General features: G+C 46.1%; 1 protein-coding gene, 1 long non-coding RNA gene and 1 pseudogene across 4 annotated transcripts, besides 5 other annotated features; 1 reads left to right on the top strand and 2 right to left on the bottom strand.

Moving 5' to 3' along the window:
- Positions 1,121–1,270: an enhancer, noted in NCBI's record as "active region_14193". NCBI's record gives its function as "activates an Ori minimal core promoter by ATAC-STARR-seq in GM12878 lymphoblastoid cells {active_cell/tissue: GM12878}" and the evidence as "EXISTENCE:reporter gene assay evidence [ECO:0000049][PMID:35858748]".
- LOC124900418 (collagen alpha-1(I) chain-like) lies at positions 1,178–9,611 on the bottom strand. 3 transcript variants are annotated; one of them, XM_047439792.1, is made up of 4 exons: positions 9,220–9,611; positions 7,202–7,303; positions 3,278–3,340; positions 1,178–2,269 (listed from the first exon to the last, which is right to left on the bottom strand). In XM_047439792.1, exon 4 carries the CDS (start codon positions 2,154–2,156, stop codon positions 1,551–1,553), a length of 606 nt encoding a protein of 201 aa, XP_047295748.1. In that variant the 5' UTR covers positions 2,157–2,269; positions 3,278–3,340; positions 7,202–7,303; positions 9,220–9,611; the 3' UTR covers positions 1,178–1,550. The 3 variants fall into 3 exon arrangements, with proteins under 3 accessions (XP_047295748.1, XP_047295749.1, XP_047295747.1); XM_047439793.1 differs by having other exon boundaries at positions 1,178–3,340; XM_047439791.1 differs by lacking the exons at positions 7,202–7,303; positions 9,220–9,611 and having other exon boundaries at positions 3,278–3,589.
- Positions 1,411–1,640: an enhancer, noted in NCBI's record as "active region_14192". NCBI's record gives its function as "activates an Ori minimal core promoter by ATAC-STARR-seq in GM12878 lymphoblastoid cells {active_cell/tissue: GM12878}" and the evidence as "EXISTENCE:reporter gene assay evidence [ECO:0000049][PMID:35858748]".
- Positions 1,771–1,990: a silencer, noted in NCBI's record as "silent region_10287". NCBI's record gives its function as "represses an Ori minimal core promoter by ATAC-STARR-seq in GM12878 lymphoblastoid cells {active_cell/tissue: GM12878}" and the evidence as "EXISTENCE:reporter gene assay evidence [ECO:0000049][PMID:35858748]".
- Positions 2,237–9,611, bottom strand: UCA1 (urothelial cancer associated 1). The gene is given in 3 exon segments (NR_015379.3): positions 2,237–4,056; positions 7,202–7,303; positions 9,220–9,611. It is a non-coding gene; the product is annotated as a urothelial cancer associated 1 (long non-coding RNA).
- Positions 2,421–3,620: an enhancer, noted in NCBI's record as "CDK7 strongly-dependent group 2 enhancer chr19:15945748-15946947 (GRCh37/hg19 assembly coordinates)". NCBI's record gives its function as "activates an origin of replication core promoter dependent on BRD2, BRD4, P300/CBP, MED14 and CDK7 cofactors, with strong dependence on CDK7, by STARR-seq in HCT116 cells {active_cell/tissue: HCT116}" and the evidence as "EXISTENCE:reporter gene assay evidence [ECO:0000049][PMID:35650434]".
- Positions 9,168–10,367: an enhancer, noted in NCBI's record as "P300/CBP strongly-dependent group 1 enhancer chr19:15939001-15940200 (GRCh37/hg19 assembly coordinates)". NCBI's record gives its function as "activates an origin of replication core promoter dependent on BRD2, BRD4, P300/CBP, MED14 and CDK7 cofactors, with strong dependence on P300/CBP, by STARR-seq in HCT116 cells {active_cell/tissue: HCT116}" and the evidence as "EXISTENCE:reporter gene assay evidence [ECO:0000049][PMID:35650434]".
- On the top strand, positions 14,771–16,565 carry ZNF861P (zinc finger protein 861, pseudogene; annotated as a pseudogene).

The raw sequence follows: 19,680 nt of genomic DNA, 5'->3' as shown, positions 1-19,680 counted from the left end.
AGTCCAGGAGGAAGAAAGAGGAAGGGCCCAGTGAGTACTGATGAATGCCAGTGTCCACTTGCAAATGTCACCCCACCCCCACCCCCAATCCCCAGAGGTCCTTGTTTGAAATGCTTGTTCTCGGGCGCTGTAAAGAATAGCACTTGAACATGAATTTAATTTCTTCAGCAAGGCCAGTTTCTTACTTTCCGCAGAAAAGATACACTTGCTAGCAGTTTTTGCCACGAGAGTACACTGAACAAAAGAGACAAGGTCATTTACAACTTGACGCGTCTACCCTACTGCTGTGTCCAGTTACCATTAGCTGGAACAAGACCTCACACTCTGTATTTATCCCAATCAGCTAGCAACTTAGAACTTTTTTTAAAAAGGCAAAAGCAGAAGAAAACAAAAGAAAGAAGTAACTTGTAGAACGCTAAGAAAAGTAAAAACACCTTCAAATAAAGAACAAGCTACGACCTAATACTTGGTTAGACTAGTATAAGCATGCCAAAGCAAATATTTAAGCTAAAATGTAAAAGCTAGGAACATAAAGTACATTGATTTCTTTATTACAGCTAGCAAATATTTAAGAATATTAGTACAAGTCTTTAAATAAATGTTGCTTCTAAAACAAGTTATTGTTTGTAAAAAGTAAAGTAGAGGTTCCTCTTCAAAAATTTTCCTTCCCATTCGATTAGGAATAAATAGTAACTTCTCTTAAAAGCAAAATTTATTCAAAGACCTGTGCTAACATTCTTAAATATCTGCTAGCCATAATAAAGAAATCAATATACTTTATGTTCTTAGCTCCCACAATTTAGCCCAAATATTTGCCCTGGTATGCTTATACTGGTCCAAGCAAGCATTAAGTCATAGCCTCTTCCTCTTCCTTATTTGAAGGTGTTTTTACCTTTCTCAGCATTCCACAAGTTACTTCCTTCTTCCTTTGTTCTCCTCCACCTTTGCCTCTTTTAAAACGTTCTAAGTTGCTAGCCAATCAGGACAAACACAGAATGTGAGGTCCCGTTCCAGCCAATGGAAACTGGACACAGCAGTAGGGTGGACACCTCAGGTTATAAATGACCCTGTCTCCTTTGCTCGGTGTACGCTCGTGGCAAAACTGCTGGCGAGTGTACCCTTTCTGCAGGGAGTAAAAATGGCCTTGCTAAATAAATTAATGTTAAAGTGCTATTTCTTTATGGCACCAAAAACCAAGCATTTCAAACACTATTTATTCTTAATTAGATGAAGAAGGAAGTCTTTGAAGAAGAACCTCTACTTTTCTTTTTACATCCTGACACGAGGAAGACAACAAGCCCAGTTGCCAGGAACCGCCCATTTGGGCTCCACGCAGCCAAGTGTCTTCTCGGGTCTCCTGTCTTTCTAACCCCAGGGGGCGGGACCTGAAGCGGTATCCAATCAGGGGCACTAGGGGCCGTACTAACTATCCAATCAGGAGCGTAGCCGTAGCCGGGGGACGTGGCGGGCTGTGGAAGCTTCAGTTTCTGGCGGTTTCTTTGTTTTTTGGGGTTTGGGGTCTTTGCTGCTCGCGCAGGCCCTCCTCCCCTCTAATCCCCGTCGCCGCCCCTCTGCGACGTGAGCAGGCCCAGGGGAGGACGCCGGGACACCCGGAAGCCGGAAATGCTGAGTGTGCGGGGCCGGACGTCCCGAGACCGGAGGAGGAGCTGGTGGAACCAGCCGGATCTGGCTGTGGCGGGACCCGGGCCTGTCCGCTGCGACTCCGGGGTCTGGGACCCGAGTTCCCCTGGAGCAGCTCGGCCCTCGGTCCTCTCGGCCGCAGGGTGGGGCTGGGCCGGCAGCTGGGACTCCGGGAGTCCTGTCCTGTCCCTGCGCAGTGACTGTCGCCCCAGAGCCCTCTCTGGGCAGCTCCGCATCTCCCCAGATTGTGCGGGGGCCACGGGAGGATCATGGGGGGATCCCGCCTCCGGCCTGGGGATCCTGTGGGAGGAGCCATGGCCTGTGGGCTCCCCAGTCCCGCCTTTCCCCCCGAAGGCGGCCCCCGCTTCTCCCTGAGTCTTCCAAAAGGTGTGCGAAGCCGGGTCTCCGCGACCCGGTCCCCCAGCCTCGCTCCCCCTTGGGCTGGCCGTAAATCTTGTAATGAACGTTTCCCTCCCCGCATTCTCTAACGCCAGCGTCTCCACTGCAATCCACATGGTTCTCAACTGTTAGTCCCTTTGTTGTACGTTTCAAATCGACGTGGCATTTAAATGATCATCGTTCCACAGAGCAGTGGCTGACTCTTTTAGGAAGATTTCTTTTCTGTCACCTTTTCACATATAAGGAAAGGAAAGGAAAACCACATGAAACGCCTCTGTTTACAAAAGCCTTTGTGCCGCTACTTTTATCTTAGACACCTCATCAGACTGCCTTTGGGTTGAGGTTCCTGTCACGCGTGTCCGTATAGAAGACACCCAATCAGGCTTTGTGTGAGCAACAAGGCTGTTAATTCACTTGGGTGCAAGTGGGCTGAGTCCGAAAAGAGAGTCAGTGAAGGGAGATAGGAGAGGGGCAGCTTTATAGGGCTTGGGTAGGCGTGGAAAGTTACAGTTAAAGGTGGTTATCCTCAGCAGAGGAGGGGGTCACAAGGTGCATGGTGGAGAGATGATGGGACTCATTGTCCAGGAGAAGAATGTCACAGGGTTGATTGATCAGTTGGGGCAGGGCAGGAACAAGTCATAATGGTGGACAAGTCATAATGGTGGAATGTCGTAAGGTGGGTTAATTAGTTAAGGCAGGAACTGGCTGTTTCACTTCTTTGTGGTTTTTCGGCTGCTCCAGACTTCTTGGCTCCTGCAGGCCACCTGGACGGATATGTGCAGGTCACAGGGGTTACAATGGCTAAGCTTCAGCTCACAGGCCTGACATTTTTGTCTTTTTATTTATAAAATATGAAGTTGTAGGAAAAGATTAAAAAAAAGTGTAAGTTCCTTCTGGGGATTACTGGGGTAGGGCTGATATTTCTCCGGACTGCTTCAAGTGTGACCAGGGACTGCGTGGACACCTTAAAGAAAATTTTATAATGAGTCTAGTAAGTTTCGGGTCTAGGGTGCATTTTTATGTAGCTAACAAGGTGCCAGTTAGCGTATTTTTGAGCTTGGAACTGCCCTAATAAAATAAGTTCTCTAAAAACAGTAATCAGGCATATTAGCTTTAATGTAGGTGGCGATGAGTTTTTAGGCCAAGGAAGGAATAATGTTTTATGTACCAAAGCCTTTTGTCCCCATTTTCCATCATACGAATAGTATTCCCTGTTGCTAAGCCGATGATACATTACCCTTTTCCCATAGGTGTGAGTGGCGGTCTGAATGGAGAAGTTCAATAGTTCTGATTGCAGATCCTATGCAGAAGAGATAATAAGGAAAATAATCTTTGTCTCCTGGATTAAGCTGAGGCTGGCAAAGAGTGAAATGTCCCAAGCCCTCTAACAACAAACAACATACTTTGTGTTGTCCTGGATGCTGGTCTGGTTGCCAAATATGTGGAACTGGCCCCATATGCGTGTACTGTTGTCCATTTCATGAGAGTAGGCTTGAGGACACCATGGGCAAGGATCTGATGGTTGCCAGCCTAAGCGTTTTAGACTTTTGACCCAGAGATTTTTTGTTTTGGGTGTGGAAAAAATTTTAGAGGATAGGGTCTCAAGATATAATCCTTTTTATAGGCGGCAGGTCTTAAGAGATGAGGGTCCAGAGGAACGGATGAAGCCTGCTTGGAAGCATGCTGGGATGGCCATTTGGAAGGAGTGTTGCAAGGAAGCATGGCCTTGGCTGGGCGCTGCCAGGAGCTTAAGGGTTGTAGGTTGTTTGTCTGATCGGCTCTCGGCCTAATCTTGTGGCTTCCAGGAGGAAGAGGAGAGATCAAGCTGGCTGTCTGATGGGCATGGCTTTATTCTGGAATGGTGAACCCAATGGAGAGGGTCCTGCAGATGGACGGCAGTTGGTGTGCTATAAATGACCGGGTAGGGTCTGGTCCATTGAGGCTGTAGAGTTTGAGGGGTCAGACTTTTGACAAGGACTGATCGTCCAGCTAGGGTGTCTTCATATGGCTGGGAATCTGGAGTAGGCAAGAGAAGATTAGCAGCTTGGCAAATTTCCTGTCTAGCCTGCTAGAGGACTGGAAGATAGTTGCCCAGGGGGCTGGTGTCTGGAACAAGATTGTGGCTGAGTAAGAAGGTGCATCCATATAAAATTGAAATGGGTTGTACCCTGTGGCTTCTCAAGGACAGGCCCTAATTCTGAGGAGGGCAAGTGGTAAAAGTACTGTCCAGTCCTTTTTAAGTTGGAGGCTGAGCTTGGTGAGGTGTGTTTTTAAAAGACCATTCATCCGTTCTACCTTTCCTGAAGATTGAGGACGGTAGGGGGTATGAAGTTTCCACTGAATACCAAGAGCCTGAGAAACTGTGGAAGTAGGGAGGCCAAATTGGGGGATTATATCTGTCAGAAGGGAAGAAATGACTGTAGTAGCCTTTCAGAGCTAGTGGGAAAGGCCTCGACCCATCCGGTGAAGGTATTGGCCCAAACCAGGAGATATTTAAATTTACAGACACGCGGCATATGAATAAAGTCAATTTGCCAATCTTGTGTCGGAGGAAATCCATGAGCCTGATGCGTAGGAAAAGGAGGAGGCCTGAGAAGACCTCGGGGGTTGGTGGCATGGCAGACAGAGCATTGAGAGGTGATGGTTTTAAGGATGGATTTCCATGATGGGATGGAAATGAGGGGCTGTAGGAGGCCAGCCAGAGGCTTATATCCTATATGGAAATGGTCATGAAGGGAAGAGAGAGTAGACTGGGCTTGTGAGGCAGGAAGAACGAATTTTCCATGATCTAAGAACCACTTGCCCTGAGTTGGAAAAGACTGGTAGAGCAGGTTTTTTAGAAGAGGAGTAGGTGGGGGTGATAGAGAAGAAAGAAAAGTACTAGCCTTTTGGGGTGAGGGCTAGAATATTTGCAGGCGTGGAGGCATTTGCTGTTTCTTTTGCTGTCCTGTTGGCGTAGGCATTTCCTTTAGCAATAAGATCAGTTGGTTTCTGGTGTCCTTTACAATGAATGAACCCAGCTTTGGCCAGCAAGAGAGCAGCATTAAGGAGGGCCTTTATTAGAGAGGTATTGATAATGGAAGAGCCTTGTGTGGTGAGAAAACCTCTTTCAGTCCAAAGGGTAGCATGGTTGTGGAGGATGTGGAAAGCATATTAGGAGTCAATATAAATTTTAATGTGCATTCCTTTGGCGACAGAGAGTGCACAAGTTAAAGCAATCAGTTTGGCTTGTTGGGAAGTAGTGGAGGGAGGAAGTGCAGCAGCCTCAATAATAGAGGTATGGGACACGACAGCATAACCAGCTTTAGCTGGCGAGATTTGACTGGGTTTAGAGGAACTGCCATGAATAAACCAAGTGTGGTCTGGATTTGGGATTGGAAAAATAGAAATATGAGGAAAGGGGGAAGATGCTATGTGTATTAGGGAGATACAATCATGTTGGCCAGGACTTGTGTTGGGTGCTAAGTGAGAAGCTGGGTTGAAATCGGGCCCATGGGCAGTAGTTATTGTTGGGGTTTCAATAAAGAGTGAATAGAGCTGGAGATGTCGAGGGGCAGACAGCAAGTGTGAAAGGTGTGAGGAGGATATTAATGCTTGAAGGTTGTGAGAACTGTAGAGGGTAAGTGGAGCATAGCCTGTGATTTTGAGAGACTCTGGAAGTGTTAAAGCGGCAGCTGCCACCACATGTAGACATGAGGGCCAGCCTAGAATTGTGAGGTCAAGTTGTTTGGATAGAAAGGCTATAGGTCGTGGGCCTGGCTCCTGTGTGAGAACTCCAGCAGCACAGCCTTGTGTTTCAGCTGTGTGTAAGGAAAAAGGTTGGGACAAGTCAGGGAGTGCTAGTGTGGGAGCTGTTTCTAGGGCCTTTTTGAGAGAATGAAAGGAAGCATGGGGAAAGGACTTATGGTCTATGGGATCAGCTAAATTACCTTTAGTGAGTTTGTAAAGCAGTTTGGTTAGAATGGCAAAACCTTGGTACCCAGAGTCGGAAGTATCCAACAACGCCTAAGAAGGAAAGGAGTTGTTGTTTGGTGGTGGGGAATAGGGTCTGGGAGATTAACTGAACACAGTCTGCAGGAAGAGTGCGTGTATGTTGATGGAGGACTATGTCGAGATATGTAACACTAGGGGAGGAAATATGAGCTTTAGAGGGGGATACTCAGTACCCCTTTGAGTAGAGATATTGAAGAAGTAGGATAGGATAGTGTCCTGCTGGGAAGATTGGTAAGAAGGGCTGCAAAGAAGAAGGTCTTCAACATATTGAATAAGGTGGGAGGCAGATGGGCAGAAAGAAAGTCATGAGAGAGGGCCTGACCAAAGTAGTGTGGGCTGTCCCTGAAACTTTGGGGTCGGACAATCCAGGTGAATTGCTGGGACTGGTGGGTGTCAGGGTCAGTCCAAGTAAAGGTGAAAAGAGGTTGGGAGGAGGGATGCAAGGGGATGGTAAAGAAGGCATCTTTGAGGTGGATAACAGAATAATGAGTTGTGGAAGGGGGTGTCGAGGAGAGGAGAGTATAGGGTTTGGCACAACAGGATGGATGGGAAGGACAATCTGATTTATGAGGTGAAGGTCTTGAACTAGCCTCTAGGACTTGTCCGGTTTCTGGATGGGTAGGATAGGGGAGTTGTAAGGAGAATTTGTAGGCTTCAAAAGGCCACGTTGTAACAGGCAAGTGATAACAGGCTTCAGTTCCCTTTAAAGCCTGCTGCGGGCTGGGATACTGGTATTGAGCAGGGTAAGGGTGATTAGGTTTTAATGGAATGGTAAGGAGTGCATGGTCAGTTGCCAAAGAAAGAGTAGAAGTATCCTATACTTGAGGATTAAGGTGGGGAGATACAAGGGGAGGATGCGAAAGAGGCCTTGAATTGGGGAAAAGGACAGCAATGGGGTGTGGCTGTAGCCCAGCAATAGTCAGGGAAGCAGATAATGTGGTTAAAATATCTCAGCCTAATAAGGGAACTGGGCAGGTGGGGTTAACTAAAAAGGAGTGCATAAAAGAATGTTGTCCAAGTTGGCACCAGAGTTGGGGAGTTTTAAGGGGTTTAGAAGCTTGGCCGTCAATACCCACGGCAGTTACGGGGGCAAAGGAAACAGGCCCTTGAAAAGAAGGTAATGTGGGGTGGGTAGCCCCCGTATTGATTAAAAAGGGGATGGACTTACCCTCCACCGTAAGAGTTACCCGAAGCTCGGCATCTGTGATGGTCCAAGGGGCTTCTGAGGCGATCGGGCAGCATCAGTCTTCAGCCACTAAGCCGAGGAGATCTGGGAAGGAGTCAGCCAGAGAGCTTTGAGCCAGAGCTCCAGGGACCCTAGAAGGGGCTGTGATATTAGTTGGACAGTCCGATTTCCAGTGGGGTCCCGCACAGGTGGGACAGGCTTAGGAGGAATCCCGGGCTGCAGGCATTCCTTGGCCCAGTGGCCAGTTTTGCGGCACTTGAAGCAAGGTCCATGAGATGGTTTTAAAGGAGTGCCTAGAGGCTGTGGTTTGGTTGCTCTGAAGTTTTTGTGTGCTGAAGGCATGGCTGGGGTTTGTCTTACAGCAGAGGCAAGCAATTGCAGCTCTGAAAGACGTTGCTGCTTGGCTGCCTCTTCTCTATTGTTGAACACCTTGAAGGCGAGATTGATTAATTCCTGTTGTGGGGTTTGAGGGCCAGATTCCAATTTTTGAAGCTTTTTTTGTAATGTCAGGAGCTGACTGAGTGATAAAATGCATATTGAGAATAAGATGGCCTTCTGGCCCTTCAGGGTCTAGGGCTGTAAAGTTTCTAAGGGTAGCCACCAAACGGGCCATGAACTGGGCTGGATTTTCATCTTTACCTTGGGTGGCTTCTTAAAGCTTGTCATAATTAACAGCTTTGTATGCTGCCTTTTTCAGCCCTTCAGCTAGGCAAGAGACCATGTAATCTCGCCTAGCTATACCTGGGGAGCCTGTCTGGTATTCCCATCAAGGATCCTCTCAGGGAACTGCCCTGATGCCTTCTTGGAGGTCTGGCTCATGATGCCGGCGGGTGTTAGCGTGAGATTGGGCTAGGGTATAAACTCTTTCCTGCTCATCTGGGGAGAGGGTAGAGGTCAGGATGACATTTAGGTCACTGCAGGTTAAAGTGTAGGACTGAGTCAAATATTGGAATTCCTGTGTATATTTAGTGGGGTCTGATGAGAAAGAGCCCAGACGCTGACTGATTGGGAAAGGTCTGATAGAGAAAAAGGTATATGAACCTTTACTGTGCCCTCAGCTCCAGCCACCTCTCTATGAGGAAATTGTTGGGCAGGTGGGGGAGAGCTAGTCATGGAATGAAACTAAGCCTGACCAAGTTTGAGGAGGGGAGGTGATAGAAGAATTATAAGATGGGGGAGCGGAGGCTGAGGAAGAATTGGGACTTGATTCAGCCTGCCAAGGAGTGGCCTGGGGAGGGGGAGAGAGGTCAGAGGGGTCTGCAGAAAAGGGGGATTCAGGGGACTCTGAGGTTGGGGTAGAGACTGAAGGAACGGACGGGAGAGAAAGAAGAAAAATTTGGGATGAGTCACATTGGGAGCAGAGGCTTGGGAGGGAGCGAAGTGTAAAAAATGCCTGGACGCAAGGCACCTCAGACCATGTGCCCATTTTTTGACAAAAATGATCTAGGTCTTGTAGGATGGAGAAATCAAAAGTGCCGTTTTCTGGCCACTTGGAACCATTGTCAAGTTTATATTGCGGCCAAGCAGTATTGCAGAAGAAAATAAGACGTTTGAGTTTTATATCAGGTGTTAGTTTAAGAGAAGTTTTTAAGTACACAGGCTAAGGGGGAAGAGGGAGGAATGGAGGGCGGAAGATTGCCCAAAGTGAAGGAGGTAAGTTTAAAGAGAGAAGTAGAGACACGGAGAAGGGCGGGGGTGAGCAGCCAAAGCAGGCGTCCCCGCAAATGACTTGCCACCATGGGAATGTGGGTGAATGACCAAGGCAGGCATCCCCAAGGTGATCAGACACCAGTGGAATGTGGGTGAATAATTAGGCAGGCGTCCCCGCAGTGATTAGACACCAAGGGAAGACTGTCTTCCTGAGTCTGTGACCAGCGCCAGAGTTTTGGGTCCACGGATAAAATGTGTCTCCTTTGTCTCTACTAGAGAAGAAAAAGACTGGACAGGGAGATTGGAGGGTAGCGACAGAGGCTGGAGAAAAGAGTGAAGAGACCACTTACCCGATTTGAAATTGGTGAGATGTTCCTTGGGCTGGTCTGAGGACCCGAGGTCGCAGGTGGATCTCTTCACGGAATGAGGGCCAGGACAGGGGGCCGGTCTCACGAAGGAGTCCCCCTGGCCCAGATTTTGGCACCAAGTGTCAAGCATGTCCGTATAGAAGACCACCTAAACAGGCTTTGTGTGAGCAACAAGGCTGTTAATTCACTTGGGTGCAAGTGGGCTGAGTCTGAAAAGAGAGTCAGCGAAGGGAGATAGGAGAGGGGCAGCTTTATAGGGCTGGGGTAGGCTGTGGAAAGTTACAGTTAAAGGTGGTTATCTGTTGTCAGCAGAGGAGGGAGTCACAAGGTGCATGGTGGAGAGATGATGGGACTCATTGTCCAGAAGAATGTCACAGGGTCGATTGATCAGTTGGGGCAGGGCAGGAACACGTCATAATGGTGGAATGTCGTAAGGTGGGTTAATTAGTTAAGGCAGGAATTGGCTGTTTCACTTCCTTGTTTTTCAGCTGCTCCAGACTTCTTGGCTCCTGTAGGCCACCTGGACATATATGTGCAGGTCACAGGGGTTACAATGGCTGAGCTTCGGCTCAGAGGCCTGACAGTTCCCTTTTGGAAACGTTACAGGGTGATGTGACCTCAGCCCACCCTCTTATCTTTTCCTGGTCCTGGGTTTCAGAACTGCCTGGGGCTCATCTGAGATGCCCACAAGCTGCCGGGTCTCTTGGAGGGTCATGAATATCAGCTCCTGGGTCATTTCTTCCCAGAGGACAGCCTGAGATGTGCCTGTGGGGCCTCTCAGGGGAGCCGCCGGGTGCACCCCCTCCCCCTACCTCCCGGGAGGGAGGAGTCCCCTGGTATCTCCCTCCGTCATCTAAAAGGAAACCCCTTAGGACATTTAGCTTTTCTCACCCCAAGCCCAGTTTTCACTTCTTGGAAATACCTCTCTGGTCAGCCACTCAGATGCTGCTATTGAAGGGAAAAGACTGGAATGATCCCTGTCCTTTGAATCCTCTTAGCCTAGTGAAGGGAGAAAACTATGGCTAAGGACAGGAAAACCACCTTCACTGAGGTGACGCAAAAAGCTGAAACGCACACAATGCAGTGTCTTCTGGGAGGGTGGTCACTGAGTATATATGTGAGCAGCACAGGGTTTGGGGCATGTCTGAGGTTATATAGGATGACCTGATCTGACACTTGAGTCAGACTTGCCGGTATTCCAGTTTGCCCTACCCCTCCCTGGGTTTGTCACCTTGAAAATTTTTTTTTCACTTACTTACTTATAATAGAGTCAGGGTCTCACTACATTGCCTAGGCTGACCTCAAACTCCCGGGCTCAAGCGATCTTCCTGCCTCAAACTCCCAAAGTGCTGGGATTACAGGTGTGAGCCACTGCACCCAGCCTGAACCTCAGTTTTTAAAAAATTAAATATCAAATGGATTTTATTAGTAGAGTTTGATAGACAAGATAGAATATATCCAAGGAGGCAAGAAAGAGGTGTATTTCAGAAAAAAAAGAAAAAAGAAAAGAAATGTCTAGCCTTATATTTCATCCATTAATTTTTTTTTTTTTTGAGACAGAGTCTTGATCTGTTGCCCAGCCTGGAGTACAGTGGTGCCATCTCGGCTCACTGCAACCTCCGCCTCCCAGGTTCAAGTGATTCTCCTGCCTCAGCCTCCGGAGTAGCTGGGATTACAGGCACCTGCCACCACACCTGGCTAATTTTTGTATTTTTAGTAGAGATGGTGTTTCACCATGTTTGCCAGGCTGGTCTCGAACTTCTGACCTCAAATGATCCACCGGCTGGCCTCCCAAAGTGCTCGGATTACAGGCATGAGCCACCCATCATCCGATAAAGCTTTTAATTTACATTTTGTCTTACCCAGATGGCGTGTGATACATTTCTCATATTTGTTCTTTTCTTTTGGGTGATTTCAAATGGAATTCCAGGGCTTAGCCTTGAGAAGGCTACTGGGGCTGAGAATCTCAGCAAAGTAAGGAAAATCACTCTTCCATTATGGCTGCAGCGAAATGAATACATTTCCACAATAAAGTGTCATAGTTAAATTGGTAAATTACAAAGATTCATTAAAACATCCATTTTTCTCCTTTCCAGAGTGAGAACTTGTGACGGTGAATAACTCTTCTCTTTCCTGGTACCTGGACTTCAGAGATTAATACAAAACCCTGTGGGTCAGGACTTGGCAACACCAAGAAGCATTCAAATATAATGATTTATTCAACTGTGTATTGTCATGGAAATAATAATTAAATGGCACATCTTTGTTGTCTGAAAGGGATAGATACTTGTGCTTCTCTTGTTGAGCTATATAAAATACAAGCGCCTTACAATTTGTCTTCCCTGCCTATCTATATGGACACTGAGTTTGAGGGATTTTGTTGGTTTCTTCAAACGCTGAGTATTTTCTTTTAAAAGTAAGTGAATTATCTTGACTCGAGAGCCGAAACCCTCACACAGTGACTTCATGTTAAGGCGACTCTTGAAAAAGCATCTCAGCTGGGCGTGGTGGCTCACGCCTGTAATCCCAGCTCTTTGGGAGGCCAAGACGGGTAGATCACTTGAAGTCAGGAGTTCAAGACCAGCCTGAGTAACATGGCAAAACTCTGTCTCTACTAAAAATACAAAAATTAGCTGGGCGTGGTGGCAGAAACCTGTAATCCCAGCTACTCAGGAGGCTGAGGCAGGAGAATTGCTTGAATCCCAGGGCGGGCAGAGGTTGGAGTGACCTGAGATCACGACGTCACTGCCTCCAGCCTGGGCGATAGAGCAAGACTCAGTCTCAAAAAAAAAAAAAAAAAAAAAAAAAAGAAAGAAAAAGAAAAAACACCTCAAAGGTTAGGAATGATTCTTTCACAGGGAGGAGCAAACAAGATTAGAGAGAAGGTGATGGTGGTGGTGGTGGTGGTTGGCAGGGAGATGACAGAGACCAGAAGAAAGCTTTATCCTAAGGTCTGCCTCTTCTTCGGAGGGAAATAAAGAAGGCCTTGTATTTTGGCTAAGGGTGGGTTAAACATTTGCCTTAGGTTTAAAAAAAATTAAAACAAATTTAAAGATCTACTTAGCTTTTATTCGCAATTCCTGAACCGAAGAAGCATCCCATTCTATAAAATAGAATAAGAACTCCTGCTTTGTATAATGGAATAGGTGATTCTTGTAAGAGGAACAACAAAACAGAACAATTTAAAAAATCATTAGGTTCCTTTTTTGTAAGCGGCCTTATTATATATTATGCCAGCTCAGGTTGGCTGGGTTTTATTTTTGTTTTTTTTATTGGTTGCTGTGACTCTCCTGCTCTCAGGAAAAACTGGTGCATTTGAGGATTTGCCTCCTTCCTTAAAGGTTCAGTTTGATTATGTGGTACTTAGCCTGAGTGACTCCATTTTGGTTTGTTCTGGTCTGCTGGGGCCTAGTGCAGGAGCTCAGTCCAAAACAGTGGCCTCTCATAAGTTTTGTTTAACACTTTCTTCTAAGAGTTGTTTGGTTTGAGCTGGTCCCTTTAAGTCTTTAATCCATTTTTATTTCATTTTTCTATGTTATATAAATTATGGGTCCAACTTTATTTTTTCACATGTGGCTATCCAGTTTTCCCAGCACCATTTTTTAAAATAGAGCAGCCTTTTTCCATTGCATTATCTAAGCATTCTTGTCAAAAATCACTTTACCATATATATATGGGTATCTTTCTTGGCCCCTGTATCTATTCCAGTGATGTATATCTCTGTCTTTAGGCCAGTACCACACTGTTTTGATTCCTGTACCTTGGAGTATTTATTTGAGGATTGTTGCGTCAATAATCATAAGGGATATTTGCAAATCAAATATTGTATCATTGTCTTTATTGTCAGCACAATTTCAGGGCCTCAAGGAATAAACTAGGATATGTTCCTACCTCCTAAAGTTTTTGGAAGAGTTTGAGGAGAATTGGTGTTAATCTTCCTGAAGTGTTTGGTCTGTTTCATCGCTGAAACTGTATGGTGCTGGGCTTTTGTGAGTTGAGGGGTTTTGATTACTGCATCAATCTCCTTATTAGTTGTAGATCTGCTCCAATTTTTTCTTTCTTTTTTTTGAGACGGAGTCTTGCTCTGTCTCCCAGGCTGGAGTGCAGTGGTGCGATCTTGGCTCACTGCAAGCTCCGCCTCCAGGGTTCATGCCATTCTCCTGCCTCAGCCTCCCGAGTAGCTGGGACTACAGGCGCCCGACACCACGCCCAGCTAATTTTTTTGTATTTTTAGTAGAGACGGGGTTTCACCGTGTTAGCCAGGATAGTCTCGATGTCCTGACTTGTGATCCGCCTGCCTCAGCCTCCCGAAGTGCTGGGATTACAGGCATGAGCCACTGCGCCTGGCCCAATTTTTTCTTTCTTTATGACTTAGTCCTATGTTGTGTGTTTCTAGAAATATGCCAACTTCATCAATGTTGTTCAGCTTGTATGTGTGCCCGTAGTGACTTCGTAAATGTGGCATAAGGCATGCAGCTGTCTCACTTGTTTTCTGCTGTTGTAATACAGAAGCCCTCTTGAAGTGGCAGTAAGGTGTGGGGTGTGGGGAAGCATTCCATTGACCTATGCTTTGGCCTCATTTTTTGGAATCCTGTGTTTCTGGGTTGTAGCTTTCTTAAGTACTTCTCATTCTCACCCTTCCCTAGTTGTGGCAGGGAGATTGAAGTGGGTGGAATTGGGTATTTCTCTTGCTTCAGGAGGTCAGCTCTGCCAGCATCCCAGTTGGTAGGCTTTGGGAAATAGTTTCTTTTGAAGGCAGGAGATGTTAAGAAGAATAGCATTCTCTGGGCATATTTCAAAATGGCTAATCTTTCACATCTTCTGCCAAAAGCAGGAAGCAGTTTTTCTCTCATCTTCACTGGAAGAGCTGGTAGGATTTCTGGAGGTGCATGTCACTAATTAGTGGGGACCCCTTAGGTCTGGGCCTCCTGGCATTTTTAACTCTCAAATTGTCCACACTATCTCCAGCAATTCGTCAATTAAAATTTAGGTTTTCCTAAATTTTACTGCTTCCAAAGAGGTTTTTGCTTATTGGTTTCAGTTTTAGGAAATTATACGACTCTTTTATCAGTTGGGTTCATGGTATCCCATCCAAATTTCATATCCCATATGTTATCAAAGATCAAACTTTGTGAACAAACATTTCTAAGGATACAGAGTTTCAGGACTCCTAATGTTAAGTCTCTTCTGCACACTAGGTGGTAGGAGGACTTTTATGACAGGTGCTATAGACCCACTGTGTGAAGAGAAATTAGGGTGACCCAGGCAGTACATCCTACTCCCTGGACCCACCAAGGAGAGCTGTATTTGTGTTTCATGGTTGCTTTACCAAATAATTCTAGCATCGGAATTGCTATGTGAGAGGAAGTAAGTATACACAGCGTAAGAGGTGTGATAACCAAGTCATAGAAGAAATGTTTGGAGAACATGGAATCATGTGAACTTATTATGTGGTAAGTACAGATACCCAGGGCTGTCAGTCTCACCATCCTTTTCTACACATGTGGATGCTTCAGGACTCCAGCCTTTGAGGATGTGGCTTTCAACTTCACCCTACAGGAGTGGGCTTTGCTGGGTCCTTCCCAGACGAAACTCTACAGAGATGTGATGCGGGAAACCATCAGGATGCTGGCCTCTGTAGTTAAGGGTGACAACATTTCTTTTCTTAGTCATTTAGAGAACAAGTCTTTCTTACTCATCAATTGAGCTGCTCAATGATTTGGAATGTAGAAAAGAAATACTTTGATAAATATATAGGCAAAAAAATTAGCTGGTGTGCTGGCACACACTTGTAGCCCCCCCTAACTTGGGAGGCTGAGGTGGGAGGATTGCTTGAGCCTGGGAGGTAGAAGTGGCAGTGAGCCAAGATTGTGCCATTGCAGTCCAGTGTACCATGGTCATGGTGTACCATGAACCTAGAATTCAATAATTTTAAAATAATTTTGTAATAATTCATAATGATTTTTCTCTACCTGCATTTTAGGAAAGAAATGGGGAGATAAGAACATTGAAGATCTGTACCAAAATCCTGGGAGAAATTTAAGGTAATTTTCAAGAGAAAGCAGTGTCCATCAAGAGAATCGTAGACTGTCAGGAAATTCTAAAAACAAGCCCAGTTTCAATCTGTTTATTCTTAGAAAACTTTCTCTATAAATATATACTTAAATGAGACATATATATGTTTGCAAAAAAAGTTTACATGGAAACACTATTATGAAACCACATATAGGCTAGGTGCAGTGGCTCACACCTATAATCCCAGCACTTTGGGAAGCCAAGAAGGGTGGATTGCTTGAGGTCAGGAGCTTGAGACCAGCCTGGGCAACATAAGGAGATCTATTCTCTACCAAAAAAAAAAAAAAATTAGCTAGGTGTGCCAGCACACACCTATAAGTCCCCCTTACTTGGGAGGCTGAGGTGGGAGGATTGCTTGAGCCTGGGAGGTAGAGGTTGCAGTGAGCCAAGATTGTGCCATTGCACTCCAGCCTGGGTGACAGAGCTAGACCCTGTCTTAAAAAAAAAAGAAGAAGAAACCCCATGTTAATATTTCTATTTTCATAGCAGCTGTAGTTGGGCGCTCCTGCAGACCATTCAATCCATTCATGGCCAAACAGTGGAAACAGGTTAGAAATCCTACCTATGCTTCCACTGATGATGTTAAAAACATAAATCCAGGAGGTTGAGGCAGGTGGATCACTTGAGGTCAGGAGTTTGAGACCAGCCTGGCCAACATGGTGAAACCCCGAATCTACTAAAAATACAAAAATTAGCCAGGTGTGGTGGCGGGTGCCTGTAATCCCAGCTACTTAGGAGGCTGAGGCAGGAGAATCGCTTGAACCTGGGAGGCGGAGGTTGCAGTGAGCTGAGATCGCACCACTGCACTCCAGCCTGGCAACAGAGTGAGTGAGACCCTGTCTCCAAAAAACTCCACATAAATCCAATACCCATCAATAACAAATAAATTATTTATAAAAATACTTAATAATGTACTTATTTTGTACAGAAATCATATGGTAGAGAGACCCTGTGAAAATAAAGAAGGTAGTCAATGTGGAGAAGCCTTCAGCCAGATTCCAGGTCATAATCTGAATAAGAAAACGCCTCCTGGAGTAAAGCCACCTGAAAGCCATGTGTGTGGAGAGGTCGGCGTGGGCTATCCATCCACTGAAAGGCACATCAGAGATCGCCTTGGACGCAAACCCTGTGAATATCAGGAATGTAGACAGAAGGCATATACATGTAAGCCATGTGGGAATGCCTTTCGTTTTCACCACTCCTTTCACATACACGAAAGGCCTCACAGTGGAGAAAACCTCTATGAATGTTAGGAATTTCAGAAAACATTCACTTCCCCCCCAAACCTTCAAAGATGTGAAAATGCATAGTGGAGATGGACCTTACAAATGCAAGGTGGGTAGGAAAACCTTTGACTCTCCCAGTTCATTTCGAATACATGGAAGATCTCATTCTGGAGAGAAACCCAATGTGTGTAGGCACTGTGGGAGCACCTACAATCATTTCAGTTTTGTGTGTGTGTGTGTGTGTGTGTGTGTGTGGCAAGGTCTCACTCTTGTCATCCAGGCTGGAGTGCAGTGGCACGATCTCAGCTCACTGCAGCCTTTGCCTCCCAGGTTCAAGTGATTCTCCTTCCTCAGCCTCCCAAATAGCTGGGATTACAAGCGCGTGTCACCACGGCCGGCTATTTTTTGTATTTATGGTAGAGACGGTGTTTCACCATGTTGGCCAGGCTGGTCTCAAACTCCTGGCCTCAAGTGATCCGCCTGCCTTGGCCTCCCAAAGTGCTGGGTTTAGAGATGTGAGCCACCACACTTAGCTGGGATTCTTCTTAGCAAGAGCTGAAAGACTAGGGTAAAAGGACTCAAGGCCCCAACAAGCCTGTCTTGAAGCTCTTTTTGATGGTAGGAGCACCCGGTGGCCAAAGATACCCATACATCACAAACATCTGGATAGAAGTAAGAGGTCTCCCTCCCATGCTGTGTCATTGAGTGCACACCAAGTTTCTTGGGTTATATATTTGGCATTTCTGTAATTCCATAGAGATAATCATCAACGGTTTTCCCCAAGTGATACCTCCTTGGGGGCATCCTAATCCTTGAGCACTGGCATACCGTTTCAGTGCCAGTCTTGTGGCCATTTCTAGGCCTAAGTTTTCCAGTTTAAGTCCCCTCTCTGAGCCTTCTGGCTGGAAAATGTCTTTGTGAATCCACATCCACCCATGCTTTCGAAGAGTCAACAGAGATCCCAAGCGGCTGTGATGTGAGATGGTGGAGGAAGCAGTGGCAGAACCCAGGTCATGAGTGTGAGTGACCTCAGTTACTCCAATCCCTGCAGCTACATAAGAGCTCAGTCACCCACAGACACGGTCACAATAGTCTCACAACTGAAGAAGACGCCAAGGTTATTTTTCTTCTTCAGCACTGGTTTTGTTGTGTCCCATAAGACAGGGGTTCCCCAAAACGCCCAGCTGGTAGCGGTCTGTGGCTGTTAGATCTGGGCCACACAGCAGGAGAGTGGCGGAAGGGGTGGGGTGGGGTGAGCATTACCACTTGAGCTCCGCCTCCTGTCAGATGGGTCAATGGTGGCATGCTGGTATTAGATTCCTATAGGAGCGTGAACCCTATTGTGAACTGTGCACACGAGGAATCTGGGTTGGGTGCTCTTTATGGGAATCTCATGCCTGATGATCTATTACTGTCTCCCATCACCCTCAGATGGGACAGTCCAGTTGCAGGAAAACAAGCTCAGGGCTTCCACTGATTCTACATGATGGTGAGTTGTATAATTACCTCATTATATATTACAATGTAATAATAATAGAAATAAAGTGCACAACAATAAATGTCATGTGCCTGAATCATCCCAAAACCATCCCCCAACCCCAGTCCGTGGAAAAATTATCTTCCATGAAACTGGTCCCTGGTGCCAAAAAGGTTGAAGCCTGCTGATGTGCTACTAGTATATGGAGTATTTCCACAGTACACGTGCAATAGTCATAAACTCAAAAGCACAGACAATGGTAAAATATATATGAAATAATTAAGAAGTGATACATTTTAAGCAGTTATTACAGCTTTAAGCTTCTAGAGTTCATTACTTTCTCACCTGCTTAATCTTTAAGAAAATTATTTGTCTCTAAGAACTTCTGAGACTTTCAGATAGAAGAATCAATCTCCTTATAATCTGTATTTACAGAAGACCTGCCATCAATTGGTAGGTGCTGAAAATAACGCTAAGAGTCATAGATGAACCTTTCAATCATGACAGAAGTGAGAAGACAGAGCTCACTCCTAGATTCCCTTAATTTATTTCACTGTAATTTCATACAGTTTACTTTTAATCAGAGCTGTGTTTAACAACCAGGTTGCAACAATTTTCAGAAGTTGACAACTGGCTGTTCTGAGTTGGTTGAAGCTGTTCAGTCATCACCTCCCCCGATCCCATCCTCCCTCAGGTGGCTGAACATGTCACTCATAGGATTTATTTATTTATTTTTAATTTGTAAATAATTGTTGGTAGAGATGGGGGGGTCTCATTATGTTTCCCAGACTGGTCTTGAACTCCTGGCCTCAAGTGATCCTCCTGCCTCGGCCTCCCAAAGTGCTGGGATTACAAGGATTTAAACCCTCTGGTGACTCTCCAGACATCAAGAGGAAGCCACAGCTCCTTCGACCACCCTCCAAGTCTCCTTAAGCTGTCCTTGGCCACCTCTCCAGACCCTCTTCCATCTTTGTCCTCTCCTTGCCTCATGTCCCTGGCTTACTAGACTGCATTCAGGCTCGTTCCACCATATCCCTCTGAAGCCATCTTCAAGACTCTGTTCTGTCTACTTGTAGCACCTTTTCTCTGATCTTCTGACTGGCTGAAGTCTACTCATCCTTATGACTCCCATCACCAATTTTGATGGACTTTTCCTGGTCCTGCCACCCCTCCTTGCTAGCTCAACATCGATCACACCATGACATATTTTTTTTTTTTTTGAGATGAAGTCTAACTCTATCACCCAGGCTAGAGTGCAGTGGTGCGATCTTGGCTCACTGCAACCTCTGCCTCCTGGGTTCAAGCGATTCTCCTGCCTCAGCCTCCCAGGTAGCTGGGATTACAGGTGCCTGCCACCGCGCCCAGCTAATTTTTGTATTTTTAGTAGAAACGGGGTTTCACCATGTTGGCCAGGCTGGTCTCGAACTCCGGACCTCATGATCCATCCGCCTCGGCCTCCCAAAGTGCTGGGATTACAGGCGTGAGCCACCGTGCCCTGCCACCGTGACATAATTTTAACTTTAATATTTGTGTCTTTCCTGCCACTGTGTACTCCACAGGAGAAGGTTTCCAGCTTCATTTATCTTTGTACCTTGGTGCCAGGCACACAGTTGTCGCTCCATAAATGTCTGCATATTAGTTACTTAGTGTGAGCATGTTTTATAA

This window comes from Homo sapiens, chromosome 19, assembly GCF_000001405.40.
Source record: "Homo sapiens chromosome 19, GRCh38.p14 Primary Assembly".
Lineage (NCBI taxonomy): Eukaryota > Metazoa > Chordata > Mammalia > Primates > Hominidae > Homo > Homo sapiens.
This window is presented reverse-complemented; position numbering and strand designations above follow the sequence as displayed.